The sequence below is a fragment of the Homo sapiens genome, chromosome X, assembly GCF_000001405.40.
Source record: "Homo sapiens chromosome X, GRCh38.p14 Primary Assembly".
NCBI classification, from domain to species: Eukaryota; Metazoa; Chordata; class Mammalia; order Primates; family Hominidae; genus Homo; species Homo sapiens.
This window is the reverse complement of record NC_000023.11, coordinates 19367337-19386026: the sequence shown is the minus strand read 5'-3', so window position 1 is coordinate 19386026 and position 18690 is coordinate 19367337. Positions and strand designations below refer to the sequence as shown.

General features: G+C 50.2%; 1 protein-coding gene across 6 annotated transcripts in view, besides 2 other annotated features; it reads left to right on the top strand.

The window, feature by feature from the left end:
* Window positions 1–18690, top strand: part of MAP3K15 (mitogen-activated protein kinase kinase kinase 15) — a 155450-nt gene that overhangs the window by 129482 nt on the left and 7278 nt on the right. For 4 of the 6 annotated variants that reach the window (NM_001001671.4, XM_011545507.4, XM_011545510.3 and 1 more), the window contains 7 exons: window positions 5750–5907; window positions 11367–11550; window positions 12332–12491; window positions 13200–13374; window positions 14497–14682; window positions 14963–15068; window positions 16808–16973. In NM_001001671.4, the coding sequence (NP_001001671.3) occupies window positions 5750–5907; window positions 11367–11550; window positions 12332–12491; window positions 13200–13374; window positions 14497–14682; window positions 14963–15068; window positions 16808–16973 (1135 nt within the window). Of the gene's footprint in view, window positions 1–5749; window positions 5908–11366; window positions 11551–12331; window positions 12492–13199; window positions 13375–14496; window positions 14683–14962; window positions 15069–16807; window positions 16974–18690 lie in introns of those variants that run through there. The other 2 variants (XM_011545508.4, XM_047442100.1) reach the window with 2 other exon arrangements.
* Window positions 2950–3009: an enhancer, noted in NCBI's record as "active region_29463". NCBI's record gives its function as "activates an Ori minimal core promoter by ATAC-STARR-seq in GM12878 lymphoblastoid cells {active_cell/tissue: GM12878}" and the evidence as "EXISTENCE:reporter gene assay evidence [ECO:0000049][PMID:35858748]".
* Window positions 11916–12856: an enhancer, noted in NCBI's record as "H3K4me1 hESC enhancer chrX:19391289-19392229 (GRCh37/hg19 assembly coordinates)". NCBI's record gives its function as "activates a minimal SCP1, AML or CMV promoter by ChIP-STARR-seq in naive H9 embryonic stem cells {active_cell/tissue: H9 hESC(naive)}" and the evidence as "EXISTENCE:reporter gene assay evidence [ECO:0000049][PMID:30033119]".

Here is an 18690-nt window from a genome sequence, read left to right as displayed (position 1 = left end):
TGTTCCCTTGAGTATCTGAAATAGTTGTGTGCATTTATCTCTCTCTGTTAGCTGTTCTGAGAGTGGATGGTTACCTTGTGAATACAGTAGTGAATAAAATGGAGCACCCAGTTTTCCATTAGTGCCCTGTACCTTCCAGTTACATGGAAAGATGCTCCAATATGGCTTTGGAAATCCTTACACGTGCTACTCTTATTCAGGCAGCTTTTTTTTTCCAGCAGCGCTTCTTCTTGATGTAGTGTATGGATGAGTGATGTCATGGTGTGTAGTTCTGAACTTGAAGGTAGAAGATATGGGTTCTAGCCTAAGCGAATCCTTTAGCCTCTCTGAACCTCAGTTGCCTCCTGTGTAAAGTAGGAATAATGGTAGATAGTGCTTCCTCTGCCTAACCTTCCAGAGTCGTTTGAGTCAGATGGACAAGGCTATGTGGAGACAATTGGTAAGCCATCAAGTGCTCACCAGGAGTCAGATTTGTGGCAGGCAGCCTCCAAAATGACCCCCAATGATCCCTACCTCCTGATAGTCACACCCTTGCGTAGTTCCCTCCCGTTGAATGTGGACTGGACTTAGCAACTTGCTTCTGATGAATAGGAAGAAGTGGGAGTGATGGTGTGTGACCTGGACACTAGGTCATAAAAGGCAGTGTGCCATTCCTCTTTCTCTCGGATCAGTCTCTCTGAGGGAAGCCATGTCTCAAACCAGTCCTATGGAGGATCCCATGTAATGAAAAACTGAAGCCCCCCACTAGCTCTATCCTTAGTGAGCTTGGAAACTGATCCTCCAGCCCCAGTCCAGCCTTCAGATGACTGTAGCCCCAGCTGACATCTGGACTGCAACTTCCTGGGAGACCCTGAGCCAGGTCCACCCAGCTAGTTAGTTGCTGCTGGATTTCAACCCTTAGAAACGCTGTAAGACCTAACTATTTGTTGTTTGAGTTGATAGATTTGGGGGATCATTTCTTAAACAGCAGTAAATAACTAATATGAATGTCATTATTAAATCCTTGCCTTTAGAAAGAGTGCTGTTCACCATGGCTCCATATTTTTAAAAATCTGCAAATTTATTTTTAACTTTTGTGGGTATATAGCAGGTATATATATTTATGGGGTATATAGACTATTTTGATACAGGCACACAATGTGTAATAATCACATCAGGGTAAATAAGGTATTTATTACCTCAGGCATTTATCCTTTGTGTTACAAACAATCCAGTTATGCTCTTTTCAGTTTTTTAAAATGTACAGTTTTTTTTTTTTTTTTTTTTTTTTTTTTTTTCCCCTGAGACAAGGTCTCACTCCCATCTGCCCAGGCTGGAGGGCAGTGGCGTGATCTCAGTTCACTGCAGCCCCAACTTCATGGGCTCAGGTGATCCTCCCACCTCAGCCTTCCAAGTAGCTGAGACTACATGTGCACACCACCAACCCTGACTAATTTTTTGTACTTTTTTAGTAGAGATGGGGTTTCGCTGTGTTGCCCAGGCTGGTCTCAAACTCCTGGGCTCAAGTGATCCACCCACCTCGGCCTCCCAAAGTGCTGGGATTGCAGGCATGAGCCACCATGCCCAGCCAAAATGTATTGACTATGGTCACCCTGTTGTGCTATCAAATACTAGATCTTATTCATTCTTTCTATTTTTTTTTGTACCCACTAACCATCCCCACCTTCCCCCAGTCCCCACTGCCCTTCCCAGCCTCTGGTAACCATCCTTCTACTCTCCATGTCCCTGAGTTCAATTGTTTTGATTTTTAGCTCTCACAAATAAGTGAGAGCATGCAATGTTTCTCTTTCTATGCCTGACTTATTTCGCTTTATATAATGATCTCCAGTTCCATCCATGTTGTTGCAGATGACAGGATCTCATTCTTTTAATGGCTGAATGGTACTCCATTGTGTATATGTACCACATTTTCTTTATCCATTCATCTGTTGATGGACACTTAGGTTGCCTCCAAATCTTGGCTATTGTGAACTGTGCTTCAACAAACATGCGGGTGCAGATATCTCTTTGATATACTGATTTCCTTTCTTTTGGGTATATACCTAGGAATGGGGTTGCCGGATCCTATGATAACTCTATTTTTAGGTTTTTGAGGAACCTCCAAACTGTTCTCCATAGTGGTTGTACTAATTTACACTCCCACCAACAGTGTATGAGGGTTCCCTTTTCTCCACATCCTCGCCCGCATTTGTTATTGCCTGTCTTTTGGATATCAGCCATTTTAACTGCAGTGAGATGCTATCTCACTGTGGTTTTGATTTGCATTTTTCTGATGATTAGGGATGTTGAGCACCCTTTCATATGCCTGTTGGCCATTTACAAATGTCTTCTTTTGAGAAATGTCTATTCAGATGTTTTGCCCATTTTTAAAAATCTAATTATTAGATGTTTTCTTATAGAGTTGTGTGAGCTCCTTATATATTCTGGTGACTAATCTCCTGGCAGAGGGGTATTTTGCAAATATTTTCTCCCATTCTGTGGGTTGTCTCTTCACTTTGCTGACTGTTGCCTTTGCTGTGCAAAATCTCCAAATTTAGAATTAAGCAGACTAAATAGGCTTCAATTAGGAAATAATTGTACCAGGATGGACAGTTATTTGACCAGAGCCAATTAGCCATTGATGTTTGGTTTAGCGTTTCTTTTCTACTGCTGGATACATCTATAAATGTATTCTCTTGCTCTTTGAAGAAATAAATTTAGTGATTATATTAGTCAGGGTCCAGGCAGAAAAACAAAAATAACCCCAGTTATTTCCATGGAGAGAATTTAATAGAAATAACTGTTTGCTGGTTACCAAAAACCAGAAAGGCAGAAAGGGAGGCCCTGAGGTATCAGGAAGCCTGTACCCCTGGGGCTTGGGGGTCAAATGGGAGGGTGAGATTAGAACTTGTTCGGAGGGAGTGTCACCAGGCTGGAGCAGGTACCTCTGAGGGGCAAGATGAGGCTGGTTCTGGAAGTACGGGGTGACACACAGCGGGAGACTGGGGCCGACTGAGGGTCCAACGCCAAGCTTAGGGCCACAGCAAGCACACAGCAGGTCTCCGCTTCCTCCCGCATCCTTCCAGGGTCTCTCTTTAGCGCCACCTGGTTGCGGAGCCTAATGGGGAGCTGCAGGCGAAGCAGAGTCCCAGACTCAGCATCACAGAGCAGAGCTGAGAGAGGGTAGCTTCATAAGCAGCACAGTATCGGATCCTTCCTCAATTAGGGATTCGTTAGAAGGCACATTCCCTGCCAAGACCTCTCCCTCTGTTACAGCAGCAAGAGCCCATAGGGGATATTGTGTCATCGGATGTTCCCTTCTTGGGGCTCTGGGATTTCCTAACAGGGCATCAAGTGTAATGCGCTGCCATGTTGCCCAACTCTGCAACTCACTGAACATTTCCCCGCCAGGGCATCAGCTCTGGAGACCAAAGCCATCATTTGTTCCTCATCGATCTGTTGTGCTCACTGATACAACCCAATTCATATTTAAGTTTATATTTAAGTCACTTGTAATTGAATACAATTAAAACTTAAAAATGCATTTCTTCAGTCTCACTAGCTACATTTCAAGGGCCCAACAGTCAAATATATGAGGCTAGTGACTACCATATTTAACCACACAGGATAGAACGTTGCCATCAGCGCAGGACATTCCATCCGTCACAGCTGCCCCTAGAGTATTTAAAGAATGCTAATAAGACATAGGATCTTCCAGAGGGGGACACAGGAGGTAGTTTCTCCAAACTTTCTTTATAGCCAGTGCGCCCTTTGCTTTCCTTTTTTTTTTTTTTTTTTTTTTTGGAGACTGAGTCTCGCTCTGTCGCCAAGGCTGGAGTGCAGTAATGCGATCTCAGCTCACTGCGAGCCAGGTTCAAGGGATTCTCCTGCCTCAGCCTCCCGAGTAGCTGGGATTACAGGCACCCACCACCATGTCTGGCTAATTTTTGCATTTTTATATTTTTAGTAGAGACGGGGTTTCGCCATGTTGGCCAGGCTGGTCTCGAACTTCTGACCTCAGGTGATCCGCCTGCCTCGGCCTCCCAAAGTGCTGGGATTACAGGCGTTAGCCACCATGCCCGGCCCTGCTTTCATTGATTAAACCTTTAGTTGTGTAATCCTCAGATAGGCCTTTGAATTTCTCTGGGTTTCAGTGTTCTATTCATGCGTGGCCAAGGTCAGAGCTCTGACTTTGCTGTCTTTTTCTAAATTTCTTTGCCAGCCCCCAGGAGCTGCTGTCACTTTCACACACGTCCCCTTTGCACAGGCTGAGTTTCAAGGAAAACGAAGGATGTTATTCGCAGAGCCCTTGACTGACCTCCCCGTGTGCTGTCTCCCACAAGAGCACGTCCAAAGCCAGAGCCCTGGGCCCACCCTGCTTGCCACTGGGCCTGTGCCCTTGCCATTGCCTCCTTAACTATTCCCACACCCTGCCCCGTGTCAGACATCGCTTGTTCCCCGGACCGCTGTCTATCTCACACCCATGATCCCCTTTGTCCAGCCCTCCAGCCTTCGCAGCAGGACCCTGCTTCCCTGACAGCCCCGGCTACCAACCCAGCAAAGTTACACTTTACCCAGGCTGCTCCCCACCAAGGCCTGAGCCTGGCAGGGGTGCTAGAACCCAGGTGGGACTCCTCCAGTGGATGACTTGGGGCTGCAGACTCCCCAGCAGCCTGGCTGAAGCCCTCTCCGGGCTGCTCTCCCATCCCAGATTCTTCCTGATTCTGCCTTCCTCTCCGCTCCCAGGTGTTGCACCTGCCATGTGGTCCGCAGCCGGCCCTGCCCACCCTGCTCCCTCCCGCTTTGTCCTTCAGAGACCTTCTCCCCAATAAATCTCTCATATGTCTCATCTCGTCTTGGCATTTTACTCCTCAGAGGCCCAAATGGACACAGCCATAGTGTTTCCTGACCCGAACCAGGCAGAGAGTCAAACCCTATTTTATTAATGCTCTTGCAGCCTTCTGTGTATTTCTCTGTCCTAGCACCTACCACATTTTGCCATTACTGCCACCGCTGCCAGCATTCTGTCTTTGTCTCCTCCACTAGGCACCTCCCTACCATCAGGCTGTGTTTCTCACGTTCTGGCTTCCCTGTATTTGGCATGTACTAATATGTGCTGACTGAATTGCGCCATTTGTCCTTTGATGGGCCAGGCAGTCCTCTCTCCACGTGGTTAGTATTAAAGGAAGGCATGTTGCATGCCTCTGCTCAAAGAAATATGCAGTCAGGCCAGGAGCAGTGGCTCACGCCTATAATCCCAGCACTTTGGGAAGCTGAGGCAGGCACATCACCTGAGGTCAGAGAGACCAGCCTGGCCCACATGGTAAAACCTCGTCTCTACTAAAAATACAAAAATTAGCCGGGCATGGTGGTGTGTGCCTCTAATCCCAACTACTTGGGTGGCTATGGCGTGAGAATCGCTTGAACCCGGGAGGCGGAGTTCGCGGTGAGCCGAGATCACGCCACTGCACTCCAGCCTGGGCGACAGAGCAAGACTCTGTCTCAAAAAAAAAAAAGAAGCAACCATATTATTTATGCATGGGACAAGACTCCATCTGCCATTTGTGAAGCCATTCATTTCACAGTTAGTGGTGGGTTTTTTGTTTTGTTTTGTTTTTGAGACAAGGTCTTGTTACATTGTCCAGGCTGGTCTCCAACACCTGGGCTCAGGTGATCCTCCTGCCTCAGCCTCCCGAGTAGCTGGGACTACAGGCCACTTAGTTTCTGAGCAATATGGTACCCACAGCCTGTTTGTTTGTTTTCCAAATAGGCACCCTGCAGTACATGGCACCTGAGATAATTGACCAAGGGCCTCGCGGATATGGTGCCCCAGCCGATATCTGGTCCCTGGGCTGCACCATCATTGAGATGGCCACCAGCAAGCCTCCGTTCCATGAGCTTGGTGAGCCGCAGGCAGCCATGTTCAAAGTAAGTCATGCTTCGTGATTGAGGTTGGGCGTGGTTGGGAAGTAGAATTAAAAACAAAGTCTCCTCCCAATCCAGAAAACCTCTCCACAAAGGTAGGAGAGAAGGAAACAGTTTTATTATTGGATAAGCATTAAACCAGAATGCGAGGTGCATCACAGGCAATCCACTGAGACTGCAAAGATGGAAAGCAATCTCACTGTTTCATAGAGCCGAGCAGACACAACCCGTGACATCTGTGTTCTCAAGAGAAACCGTAACTAGTCCTCAAGTAAGACAACTTGGTGGTGCCATTTGTCACAAGGAGCTCATCTTAGATTCACCTGGTGATTGGGGGGACCATTGGTGTTCACTGTTTGGCTTCATCCAAAGGAAAATATAGGCCGGGCGCGGTGGCTCACGCCTGTAATCCCAGCAATTTGGGAGGCCGAGATGGGTGGATCACCTGAGGTCAGGAGTTAGACACCATCCTGGGCAACATGGCAAAACCTCGTCTCTGATACAAAAATCAGCTGGACGTGGTGGCGCATGCCTGTAATCCCAGCTACTCGGGAGACTGAAACAGGAGAATCGCTTGAATCCAGGAGGCAGAGGTTGCAGTGAGCCGAGATTGCACCACTGCAGTCCCGCCTGGGTGACAGCAAGACACTACCTCAAAAAAAAAAAAAAAAAAAAAAAAAAGGAAAAACACTAAACTTCTCATATCTTTAAGACAGTAGGTAGTTTTGGAGTGAAGCCACCATCAAAGTTAGAAACCTACCTTCCTATTTCTGGGAGAGCAGAGTTATGAAAACATTAATAAAAGATGACAGGTTTAAAAAAAAAAAAGAAAAAGGAAACTAGGAGATAGAGGCCCTATCTTCTTTGATGATTACATTTCAGAGAGATGGCTTCCAGGTCCTTGCAAAAGACATTTCTGGCAAGAGTCTTATTTAGCCGTTTAAAAGATTCACGTATATCTCAGAGACAGAGAAAGAACCTTAAAGTTATAAGTTCTCTCAAGTCAAGGCTCTAAGAAAGCTGGGCAGGGTGGGGGAGGGTCCTTTCCCTTTATTTTCAACAGGGAGAATCCAGCCCCTTAGTTTCCCTTCATGTTTGCTCTTACAGTGGGTAAGGCTCAAAGGCCATGTGGGATCTGTGCCTTTGGGGGACAGGTTTCTGACTGGCTTCTGGAGAGGTGGGAGTTGGGCTATCAGGTAAATATATCCCTTATCATTCCAACAACCCTCCCCGAGCTAACAGGAAGGGCAGCCCATGTACTGGGGCCAACATAGTGCAGATTGAGCATTGCGGGTGGGGGTTTTACCGCCGAGCAGCCAAGATTGTGGAAAGGGATGTCCTTCCTTGTGACCTCACGGGAAGCTGATGCCAGGACACCCCGGTGTACCCAAGGTTGGGTGTGCAGCTTCTGGCCTCATGTATGCTTAGAAACATGTAAGGGGCTTGATGTGGTTTGGCCATGTCCCCACCCAAATCTCATCTTGAATTGTAGTTCCCATAATCCCCACGTGTTGTGGGAGGGACCCGGTGGGGATAATTGAATCATGGGGGTGATTTCCCCCATCCAGTTCTTCTGATAGTGAGTTCTCACGAGATCTGATGGTTTTATAAGGGGCTTCCGCCTTTGCTGGTTCTCATTCTCTCTCCTGCCGCCCTGTGAAGAGGTGCCTTCTGCCATGGATGTAAATGTCCTGAGGCCTCCCCAGCCGCGTGGAACTGTGAATCAATTAAACCTCTTTATAAATTACCCAGTCTCAGGTATTTCTTCATAGCAGCATGAGAACAGACTAATGCAGAGCTCTAGCCCTAGGATGCCATTACCAGCACTGACCTTCCATGGGGCACTGCCTTGAGACAGCAGGGTCACAAAAGGCCAAATGGCCATTGCTTATGGATGATGAGGCCGCAGTGTGTGGACACGGCCCTGATAGAACGCGATTCCAGAGGCGTCTTCCTGGCTTCTCTGCCAAACACGGTGCCTTCATGGCCTGTGTCTGTGCCAGGCTCTCTGCTTCCCTCTTGGGCAGAAGGAACTTGGAGGTGTGAGTGCAGGTTTCTGCCGGTTGAGGTGAGGGCAGCATGTTCAATGGGTCCCGAGTGCTGCCTGCTTGGGTGCCTTGGCTGCTCTCTCCAGCCCGGCGAGGCCCCTGCAGAAGGGTCTCAGAGCTTCTCACCTCCTATCAGCTGCTTGGGTTCAGAGCCCAGGCCAAGACCTCAAGTCGACAAGAGTCTTCTGATACCTGCAATCCCAAGAGGACCCTCAGCTCCTGGGCTGGAAGACAGCAATGACCGTCCTCAGCACTTTGACCGTGTGCGGTGGACCCTGTTGGGGCCGTTGTAGATCTAACCTGCAGCTTCCATGGCAGCGTTGGAATAAACAGCAGCTGGTGACGAGGAAAACATGAGGCCCACCTGAGAGCCATGGCTGGCTGCTTTTTGACCTGCTGCTGACTTCCGGGAAACCAGGGAGAGAGCTGAAGGCTGTGACTGGCTCGATTCCTCCGCAGGGCATGCCTGGCTCCCCGCCTCCTCTTGTTTTTGTTTAGCGAATTCACTGTACAAAGTCTCTCTTTTTTTTTTTGACAGAGTCTCACTCTGTCGCCCAGACTGGAGTACAGTGGCACAATCTTGGCTCACTGCAGCCTCTGCCTCCCGGGTTCAAGCGATTCTCCTGCCTCAGCCTCCCAAGTAGCTGGGATTGTAGGCATGGGCCACCATGCCTGGCTATTTTGTATTTTTAGTAGAGATGGGGTTTCACCATGTTGGCCAGACTGGTCTCAAACTCCAGTGATCCACCTGCCTCCGCGTCCCAAAGTGCTGGGATAACAGGCGAGAGCCACCGTGCCCCGCCTGTATGAAGGGTTTGAAAATGTACTGACTTTTTTGGATGGCATATGAAGTCACTTTTCATTGCCAATGAGAAAGTTATTATTAAATAAGTAATGGCCCCTGTGTTATTTCTGGGATCCTTCATTCCTTTAGAAAACTTTCAAGAAACTTCTGGGCAGTGTCTGAAACAAAGGACACTCTCTTTCCCCTGAAGGGACTGTTACAGATTTAACTGTGTCACCCAAAAATGATATATGGAAGTCCTAACCCCCAGTACCTCAGAATGTGACCTTCTTTGGAAATAGGGTCTTTACAAAGAAAATCAAATGAAAATGGGTTCTGGAATGTGGGCCCTAATCCAGTATGACTGGTGTTTTGGACTTTTTTTTTTTCTTTTTTAAATCTTTCTTTTTATTTTTTTTAACTAGTCAAGTGAAACAGTGGGAGTGGGGAAGGAACAAAGAAATCTCTAACTGGTTGTCATCAACTAGCTGCAAACACCACTGCACTCGGACCAGCCTGGTGTCTTTTAAAAAGGGGGGATATTTGAGCCAGGTGCATTGGCTCACCCCTATAATCCCAGCACTTTGGGAGGCCGACGCAGGAGGATCACTTGAGGCCAGGAGTTCAAGATCCCCCGGGGCAACATAGCAAGACCCCGTGTCTACAAAAGATGAAAAAATTAGCCCATGTGGTGGTGCACACCTGTGGTCCCAGCTACTCAGGAACCTGAAGCAGGAGGATCCCTTGGGCCCAGGAGTTGGAGGCTGCAGTGAGCTATGATCATGCTACTGTATTCCAGCCTGGGTGACCAAGTGAGACCCTGTCTCAAAAAGTTGGGGGGTGGGGGTGGAGATTTGGACACACATGCTCAGAAGACAAAGTACGATTCCCAGGGGAATGCCTCGGGGAGGCAGAGGAGAGAGGGGGGTGCATCTAGGAGCCAAGGAGCGCCAGAGACCGCCCGCAGACCACGAGAAGCTAGAAGAGGCAAAGGCGGGGATTCCCTGCATGTTTCAGGAGTCCCTGGCCCTACCAACGCTTGGATCTTGGACTTCCAGCCTCCAGGACTGTGAGACAATAAGCACCTGTTGTTTCAGCCACCCAGTTTGTGGTATTTTGTTACAGTGGCCCTAGGAGACCAATACAAGGAGCTTTTGGGTCACGGCAAAGCACCCTTAAAGAGGACATCCCAGCCGGGTGTCATTGTGCTGCCCACATTTGCTGTTTTCAGAGAGCCGGGCAGAGGCCACCCTTTCCTTTTCATGTTCTTGCCTGAATGTTGGTCTTTGTACCCCTAGTGCCTGTGAACAGTGCCAGCTTAACCTCCCTACCGCTCAGGTGAGAGGAGCCACCTGTGAGGCACCCTGCATTGCAGACCTGGCGGTGGGTGGGATTTCACCCAGCATTTAGTGTTCTTCGAATCCGTAACTCCTGAGCTGGGCAGCCTGGCCAGGAGGAGCGCTGTGTTGGAAACAGCACATGGCCGTGACTGCCAGGTCAAGGGCCTTGGGGACAGGAAGTGGGGAGGCCTGGCCCTCTACACTCTGCAGCACCCTGAGCTCACTCGGCGGGGATTGTGGAGGCTGAGCCAGCCCCCAGGAGCTCTGAGGAGCTGGGAATGGGCATGGGTCTGGAGGACAGAACAGCTTCCACGCCTGGATTGTTGGGTGGGCTTGGAAAAGACACAGGGTGGACTGTGAAACTGAAGGTGACAACTCCTAAAAAGATGAGAGGGCCACCCTACTGGGAACAGTTATGAAGGAGGGGGCTATATAACATGTCACGGAAGCATGTCCGTGTCACAGCGAGATGTGGCAGCTCAGAACCAACTCTTACTTCCCTACAGGTCACAGGGACAGAGAGCCATTAGTTACCTGTCTATACATTGGCAGCCTCAAGGTTTTGTCTGCTTGTGGTTTTGAGCTGGAGGCTGGGAATCTGGGCTGTGGATGCAGAGGGATTGAGAGGTGTTAAAGGCATCTCTTGGGGACCCTGTGCGTCAGGGAACAGGTAACAGATGCCTTTGAGTATCCTTAGAGGACATGCCGCCCTAGGCTGTGGCCCAAGTCCCATCTCAGTTCTCTACTGCTATGTACCAAACCACCCCAAAATTTCAGAAGCTTAAAACGATGACTTTTTCTCATGCCTCTTTGAGCTGACTGTTGGCTCTTCTGTGGGTTTTGCCTGGGCTCACTCACATGGTTGCAGCCAAGTGGTGGTTTGGGGGAGCAGGGTGGCCTGAGAGGCCCCTCCCTCATGGCAGTTCCAGCTGGGATGGCTGGGGCGTCCTCTCCACGGGGTCGTACCTCCTGGGCTTCCTCTCTGCATGGTGGTCTCGGGGCTTTAAGGGTGACTAGCGGAGCCACAAGACCTCTTAAGGCCCGGGCCCTGAAACTCTCACCATGTCACTTCTGTCACTATCTGTTGGTCAAAGTCAAGTCACAAGATGCCAGTGAGGGGGAAATGGACTCCACCTTGGGGTGGGAGGAACAAGAACGTGACGTTGCAAGGGGGCATGGATTATGCCTGTCCTGGGATGTCAGGTGTACAGGAGCTTTGGACTGAGACATGGATACCTGAATTCACCCAAGGCCTCACTGACACATCGGTTACCTCTCCCTTAAATGCAGGTGGGCATGTTTAAGATCCACCCTGAGATTCCAGAAGCCCTTTCAGCTGAAGCCCGAGCCTTCATTTTATCCTGTTTCGAGCCTGACCCCCACAAACGTGCCACCACTGCTGAGCTACTGAGAGAGGGTTTCTTAAGGCAGGTGAACAAGGGCAAGAAGAACCGAATTGCCTTCAAGCCCTCAGGTGAGGCCTCCCTGGACAGCTGGGGCAGCACCCTGGCCACAAGAATGCTGGGCGCTGGGCTTCTCTGCTGCTCAGGAGGGAGAGTTCTGGCTATCCAGAGCCCTGGGCTGCTCACGTCATTCCCATTTTTGTGAAGAGTGACGGGGCCTGTGCAGTAGGTTTGGAGGTTGTCAAAATCCAACTAATACATGCACCTCGATCTCCTGACAGAGGCCCAGGGAGTCTCTGGGTGACTGGGCTGCCGTCTGCTGGAAGTTGTTCCTTCGGGATTGGGAAGAGAGTGGGGAGGCAAGAGGTACCCCAGCTGGGGTTCTGCGTCTTCACCATGTGCCAGAGCCTGGGGCTTCAGTTTTGGAGCCTGGCTTGTCATCGTGTGCCAACCCTGACCTTGATTAAAGGATTTGTCAGGGAGGTTTGCCTGATGTGGCTGTCCTGCAGGCCACCGAAGTCCAGTGACACCTTCTGGGGCAGTAAGTCCTAACTGGCAATGATGTAAGAGTGGCCCCTGAAAAGGAAGCAGTTTGTCCTCTTTTCCCTGGTACCGATCGGGGTCAGAAGCTGCCAGAGTGAGTGGCTCAGCAACTTGCTCCATGAGGGACCCCCAACTGCATGCATCTGAGTAGAAATACAGCACCTGTGGCCCGTCCCCCGCCCAACCCACATTTCTACAGGATCCTGGGTGCCTGGGCGGTTCACCTGGGCTTGAGGGGCTGCCAGGGACTCAGCTCCACCCCGTCCCTCTCTGAGTCTCCCCATTCGGTGTCTGGCTGTCCCCCTACAGAAGGTCCCCGCGGTGTCGTCCTGGCCCTGCCCACACAGGGAGAGCCCATGGCCACCAGCAGCAGCGAGCACGGCTCTGTCTCCCCAGACTCCGACGCCCAGCCTGACGCACTCTTTGAGAGGACCCGGGCGCCCAGGCACCACCTTGGCCACCTCCTCAGGTACACCCGTATTCTGTCTGTCTGCCGCGGGCCCGAAAGGGTGCTGGTAGTCCTCCGCCACAGGGCACCTCCCTGGTCCCAACCAGATGGCCACTGAGGGGTTTTACTTCCCTTCTGCAGGGCAGTAGGGCAGCTGAGCCGCCCCATCCCGGCAAGGAGGGTGCTTCGTTCACTTGCTGTCCCTTCCCCTCCCTCCCTGTCCTTTCATTCCCCACATGTGCCCTCCCCCACCTCTCCTCTTCCCTTCTCTCTCCCCTCTCCTTCGACACTTCCCCTCTCTCCTCTTCCCCCTCTCTCTCCCCCTCACCCTTGCCCCCTCTGTCCCTGCATCTTCCGGCCCCCTCCTCCTCCTGGCCCCTCCTCCTCCCTTCCTCCTTTTCCTTCCTCTCTCTTCCTCCTTCCCCTGTCCCCCTCACCTTCCCTCCCTCACCTCTCCTTCTGTGCTTGCCCCCTTCCCTCCCTCCCTCCCTCCTCCCTGTCTCCTGGGAGGCTCCTTTACCCCGCCTCCCCCTCCTTCTGCTCTCCCTCCTGCTGTGGGGGTTGACAGAACACTGCATGTCTGTCCTTCCTCCGGCAATTTCATCTTCTTGAGCACAGGGACTGCATCGCAGTTACCTCTCAGCCCTTCTCCAGGGCGTCCTAACATGACACACTCCCAGGGACAGTGCCCCGGCACGCACAGAGATTGTCACACGTGTTTGTCCACAGTGTTCCAGACGAGAGCTCAGCCTTGGAAGACCGGGGCTTGGCCTCGTCCCCGGAGGACAGGGACCAGGGCCTCTTCCTGCTACGCAAGGACAGTGAGCGCCGTGCCATCCTGTACAAAATCCTCTGGGAGGAGCAGAACCAGGTGGCTTCCAACCTGCAGGAGTGTGTGGCCCAGGTATTTGCCCGAGGGAGGGCACCGACTCTTCCCGCTCCCTCTGCCCAGGTCCCAGTCCCCAGACAGGTCCAATCAGGACCTCAGTTCCTGCCGCCCTGGAACATCTGCATAGTTACGGTGATCACTGTAAATGTTTCCCTAACGTCCTTCCCTTCCCCAACAAAACAAAAGAAAATACAAAGAAAAAAAGCTCTGCCGAAACATGAATTTGCAGATACCGCAGTGATTCCAGGCACTGGTGGGGCGGTGCTGCCCCCTGGTGAAAACCAGCCAGATTGTAGCAGAAAGCCCGAAGCACCTTCTCTGGCCTCTCATGATCCGGTTTTGAGTCCTGGAGTTAATCCCCAGCTGTAGGACACGCTAGAGCTGCCCTCAGAAGCTGGGAGAACAGCCACCTTGGGGAGGGTGGTTATGGGTGAAAATAACTGATTTTGAACTAGGGCACAGGACTGGCAAACCGATTCCCCTCCATTATTTCAGTTTATTTATTATTGTTTTTTAATCTTTTTTTTTTTTTTTTTTAGACAGTCTCACTCTGTCGCCCAGGCTGGAGTGCAGCGGTGTGATCTTGGCTCACTGCAACCTCCGCCTCCTAGGTTCAAGTGATTCTCCCGCCTCAGCCTTTCCAGTAGCTGGGATTACACAGCGCCTGCCACCACACCCAGCTAATTTCTGTATTTTTAGTAGAGATGGGGTTTCGCCTTGTTGGCCAGGCTGGTCTTGAACTCCTGACCTCAGGTGATCTGCCTGCCTAGGCTTCCCAAAGTGCTGGGATTACAGGTGTGAGCCACCGTGCCCGGCCCCCCTCCCTTATTTCAGATGGAAAAGGGCCTTTTAGGAAGAGGCCGCTGCTCCGCTCTGAACTATGTCTATGGCCTTGATGGGGGCTCTTACAAGGGGTTAAACAGGAAGCCATTCACAGAGGGGCTTAGCTGTACACCCACCAGGGAGAAGGGGCCAGGACCCTGACAGGAAGGTTATGGAGGGAACAAACAGAGACCCCTTCTCACCTGGGAGTTCCACAAGTTTCTTAGCAAATGGACCATCTTGTTTCCCCCAGTGTGTTCTGAACTCTCGCTCTCTCAATCTGACTCAATGAAAATGATTTGTGTGTGTTTTCAGAGTTCCGAAGAGTTGCATCTCTCAGTTGGACACATCAAGCAAATCATTGGGATCCTGAGGGACTTCATCCGCTCCCCAGAGCACCGGGTGATGGCGACCACAATATCAAAGCTCAAGGTGGACCTGGACTTTGACAGCTCGTCCATCAGTCAGATTCACCTGGTGCTGTTCGGATTTCAGGATGCCGTAAGTGCTCCATCTGGCCCTAGGGAACACACCAGATCTTGGAATTCAGTTACCACCTCCTCCCATAGCCCCCATCTCTTCTTAACTGTATACACCTGAATCCCAAGCTTCAGCAGCTCCTCCTAAACAATGAAGTCCAGGAAATGGCATCTGGGTGAACTGGCTGATTGCATGCGGCCCCCAAGAGGATGAGTGTAGGTTGCCGTGATTCTCCGTGCAATGCACTGGAAATCTGGATTTTTGTGATTTTAGTTTATTTTATTATTTTTTTTTTTTTTAGGTAAATAAAATTTTGAGGAACCACTTAATTAGGCCCCACTGGATGTTCGCGATGGACAACATCATCCGCCGAGCGGTGCAGGCCGCGGTCACCATTCTCATCCCAGGTGAGCGCCCCCTTTGTGGTCAAGGTCAGCTTTAGGCCGTGAAAAGATAAGAAATATCCTCTTCATTCAACAGTTGTTGCTTTTCTCTTTTCCATCTTGGTTATCTACTTCCTTGGAATTAAATGCATGTTGTCATAGACTTCTTCCGGGGCTGATTCTGTAGTTCTGAGAGCATCTCGTGGTGCTGTATTTACGTGTCCCTGAAGCATGATGAAGGTGACTACACATAAACTATAACTCACAATCTCAAAAGGGAGCATGGGGCCGGACGCGGTGGCTCATGCCTGTAATCCCAGCACTTTGGGAGGACGAGGTGGGCAGATCAGCTGAGGTCAGGAGTTCAAGACCAGGCTGGCCAACATAGTGAAACCCCGTCTCTACTAAAAATACAAAAAATTAGCCAGGCTTGGTGGCACGTGCCTGTAATCCCAGCTACTCGGGAGGCTGAGGCAGGAAAATCGCTTGAACCCGGGTGGTGGAGGTTGCAGTGAGCCGAGATCACGCCACTGCACTCCAGCCTGGGCAACAGAGTGAGATTCCGTCTCAATAAAAATAAACAAATACATAAATAATATTAAATTAAAAGGGAGCATGGGGCCAGAGGGGAAGGATCCTCCAGTCCTCTGGTATCCCCTTCATCGTGCACTCAGGAATGTTTCTTGGGTAACTGACAATACAGTGGCTCAGATTCCTCTCTCTGAATCATCATGTAGTAGTTACAGAAGTTTTTGGTTTTTGTCAATTTCCTTTTTGAAATGTTACCAAAGTTGATTCTCCTTCTCTGGTGACTTCTTCCTGCTAAGGGAGGCTTTACAGCCCATTCTGTCGCCATCATGGTTTCCCCCTTTCCTTCAGCTCCTTGCTGTTTGGCTCCAGCCCACCCTCCCGAATGCACTGTGTAGCCCAGGCTCAGCTGCAGGAGAGGCTTGGGAAACCCCAGTGCTTAATTCCTCTCCCACTCCAAGCAGACACCTTCTGTAGTAAAACGGCACAGGCTTGGGTGGCAGCCTGGCTCTACTTATTTCTTTCTTTTCTTTTTTTTTTTTTCTGAGACAGAGTCTTGCTCTGTCACCCAGGCTGGAGTGCAATGATGCGATCTCGCCTCACTGCAACCTCCATCTCCCAGGTTCAAGCAATTCTCCTGCCTCAGCCTCCGGAGTAGCTGGGGCTACAGGTGCGCGCCACCACACCCAGCTAATTTTTTTTAGTAGAGACGGGGTTTCACCATGTTGGCCAGGATGGTCTTGATCTCTTGACCTTGTGATCTGCCCGCCTCAGCCTCCCAAAGTGATGGGATTACAGGCGTGAGCCACTGCGCCTGGACCTGGCTAATTTTTGTATATATTTTTTAGTAGAGATGGGGTTTCACCATGTTGGCCGGGCTGGTTTCAAACTCCTGACCTCAAGTGATCTGCCTGCCTCAGCCTCCCAAAGTGCTTGGATTACAGGTGTAAGCCATTGCTCCTGGCCTGGTTGTACCTTTTGAACGCTGGCCTTGGTTCACTTCATATCCTTAAGCCTCAATTTCTTCCTGTGGAAACTGGCGTGATCAACTTTACGCTGCAGAGAACCAAATGGAACAGTCTCTTCTCCATTTGTAAAGTCAGCAGTCCCCTAATGGAGCATGGCACGGGCTGGGCCAGCTTCTGAACAGCCCGGTTTGCTGACCTGGGTGTCTGCGACCCCAGGCCCCACTGGCCTGGTTTGCTCACCATTGTCATGTCTTGTGTGATTTGCAGAGCTCCGAGCCCACTTTGAGCCTACCTGTGAGACTGAAGGGGTAGATAAGGACATGGATGAAGCGGAAGAGGGCTATCCCCCAGCCACCGGACCTGGCCAGGAGGCCCAGCCCCACCAGCAGCACCTGAGCCTCCAGCTGGGTGAGCTCAGACAGGAGACCAACAGGTGAGGAGCTTCTGGGCCCTCCTCTGGGAGCAGGCGCTGGGACAGTGGCCTGAGCCACCAAGATGCTGATTAATTGGCTTTATTGTTGACCATCTCACCCAGGTCTTAGGAAAAAGCAGCTTCATCATCCACGAACTAGGCAAGGGCGCATATTCTCAGCCTCAATTGAGGGACTAGAGGAATGCCTTCCTTTAAAAAAAAAAAAAAAAAAACTCAGAATCAGAGAGGTATATATAGTACCTTGCCCCAGACCACACAGAAATTACTCATACTAAAGGCAGCAGCATCTGTGAATTCTTTCTCTCTTTTCACCAAGACGGGGCCCCTGGCATGGTGTGTGGGTCTCGCAGGCTCAGCAGCCTGCCCCTGCAGAAGTAGCAGGGTTTGGGGGTTGGTTAGCACTTCATCAGTGGATGTACATCCCATAATCCCGACCCCGAGGAAGTTTGTCCTGTTGTCATTTCTTCCATGTGATTTGTCATGATCCCTAGACGGGCATTAGTGGACTAGCTTCCCAACCAGGGAACCCTGGCATCACCATCATATTCCTCCAATGCACTGGTCTGTTTTGTTCACTTCCTGGCACATAGTAGGTGCTTAATATTTGTGAAGTGGATGGGCGTGGTGGCTCACGCCTGTAATCCCAACACTTTGAGAGGCCGAGGTGAGTGGATCACTTAAGGTCAAGAGTTTGAGACAGCCTGGCCAACATGGTGAAACCCCATCTCTTCTAAAACTACAAAATTAGCCAGGTATGGTGGCGCACGCCTGTAATCTTAGCTGCTTGGGAAGCTGAGGCAGGAGAATCGATTGAATCCGGGAGGTGGGGGTTGCAGTGAGCTGAGATCGTGCCATTGCACTCTAGCCTGGGCAATGAGAGAAACTCCATCTGAAAAAAAGAAAAAAAGGGGAAGAAATATTTGTGAAATGAATAAAATTATTCCTGTTTGCTCTGGGAAGTCACATTATCAGCTGCGTGATTTGGTTTTTAAAAGTAATCCATAGTTGACCGGGCACAGTGGCTCACACCTGTAATCCCAGCACTTTGGGAGGCCAAGATGGGTGGATCATAAGGTTAGGGGTTCGAGACCAGCCTGGCCAATATGGTGAAACCCCGTCTCTACTAAAAATACAAAAATTAGCTGGGCGTGGTGGAACTTGCCTGTAATCCCAGCTACTCAGGAGGCTGAGGCAGAAGAATTGCTTGAACCCGGGAGGCGGAGGTTGCAGTGAGCCGAGATCGTGCCACTGCACTCCAGCCTGGGCGACAGCATGAGACTCTGTCTCAAAAAAAAAAAAAAAAAAAAAAAAAAAAAAAAAAAAAAAAAAATCCATAGTTATAGCAAATGAGTTGGTACTCATTCCAAATGACACTTTGTTGCTGTGGGATCATTGCTGAGGAATGCTAATGACTATTTAACCGGGAGACAAGGGGCCAGTTACGTATTTTGGATGAAAGGTTGTGTATGCTGTCAGGGATCTCTCAAGTTCAATCTTAGATCATCTAATCATTTCTTTTTTTAAAAGACCCAGAGCTTTAGTTAAATGGTAGTGGTGGCAACATTTTGAAAGTTTTTTTTTTTTTTTAAGTTCAAGAGTACAAGTGCAGGTTTTTTACACAGGTAAACTTGTGTCATGGGGGTTTATTGTACAGATTGTTTCATCACCCAGGCATTAAGCCTAGTATCCATTAGTTGCTTTTCCTGATCCTCCTCCC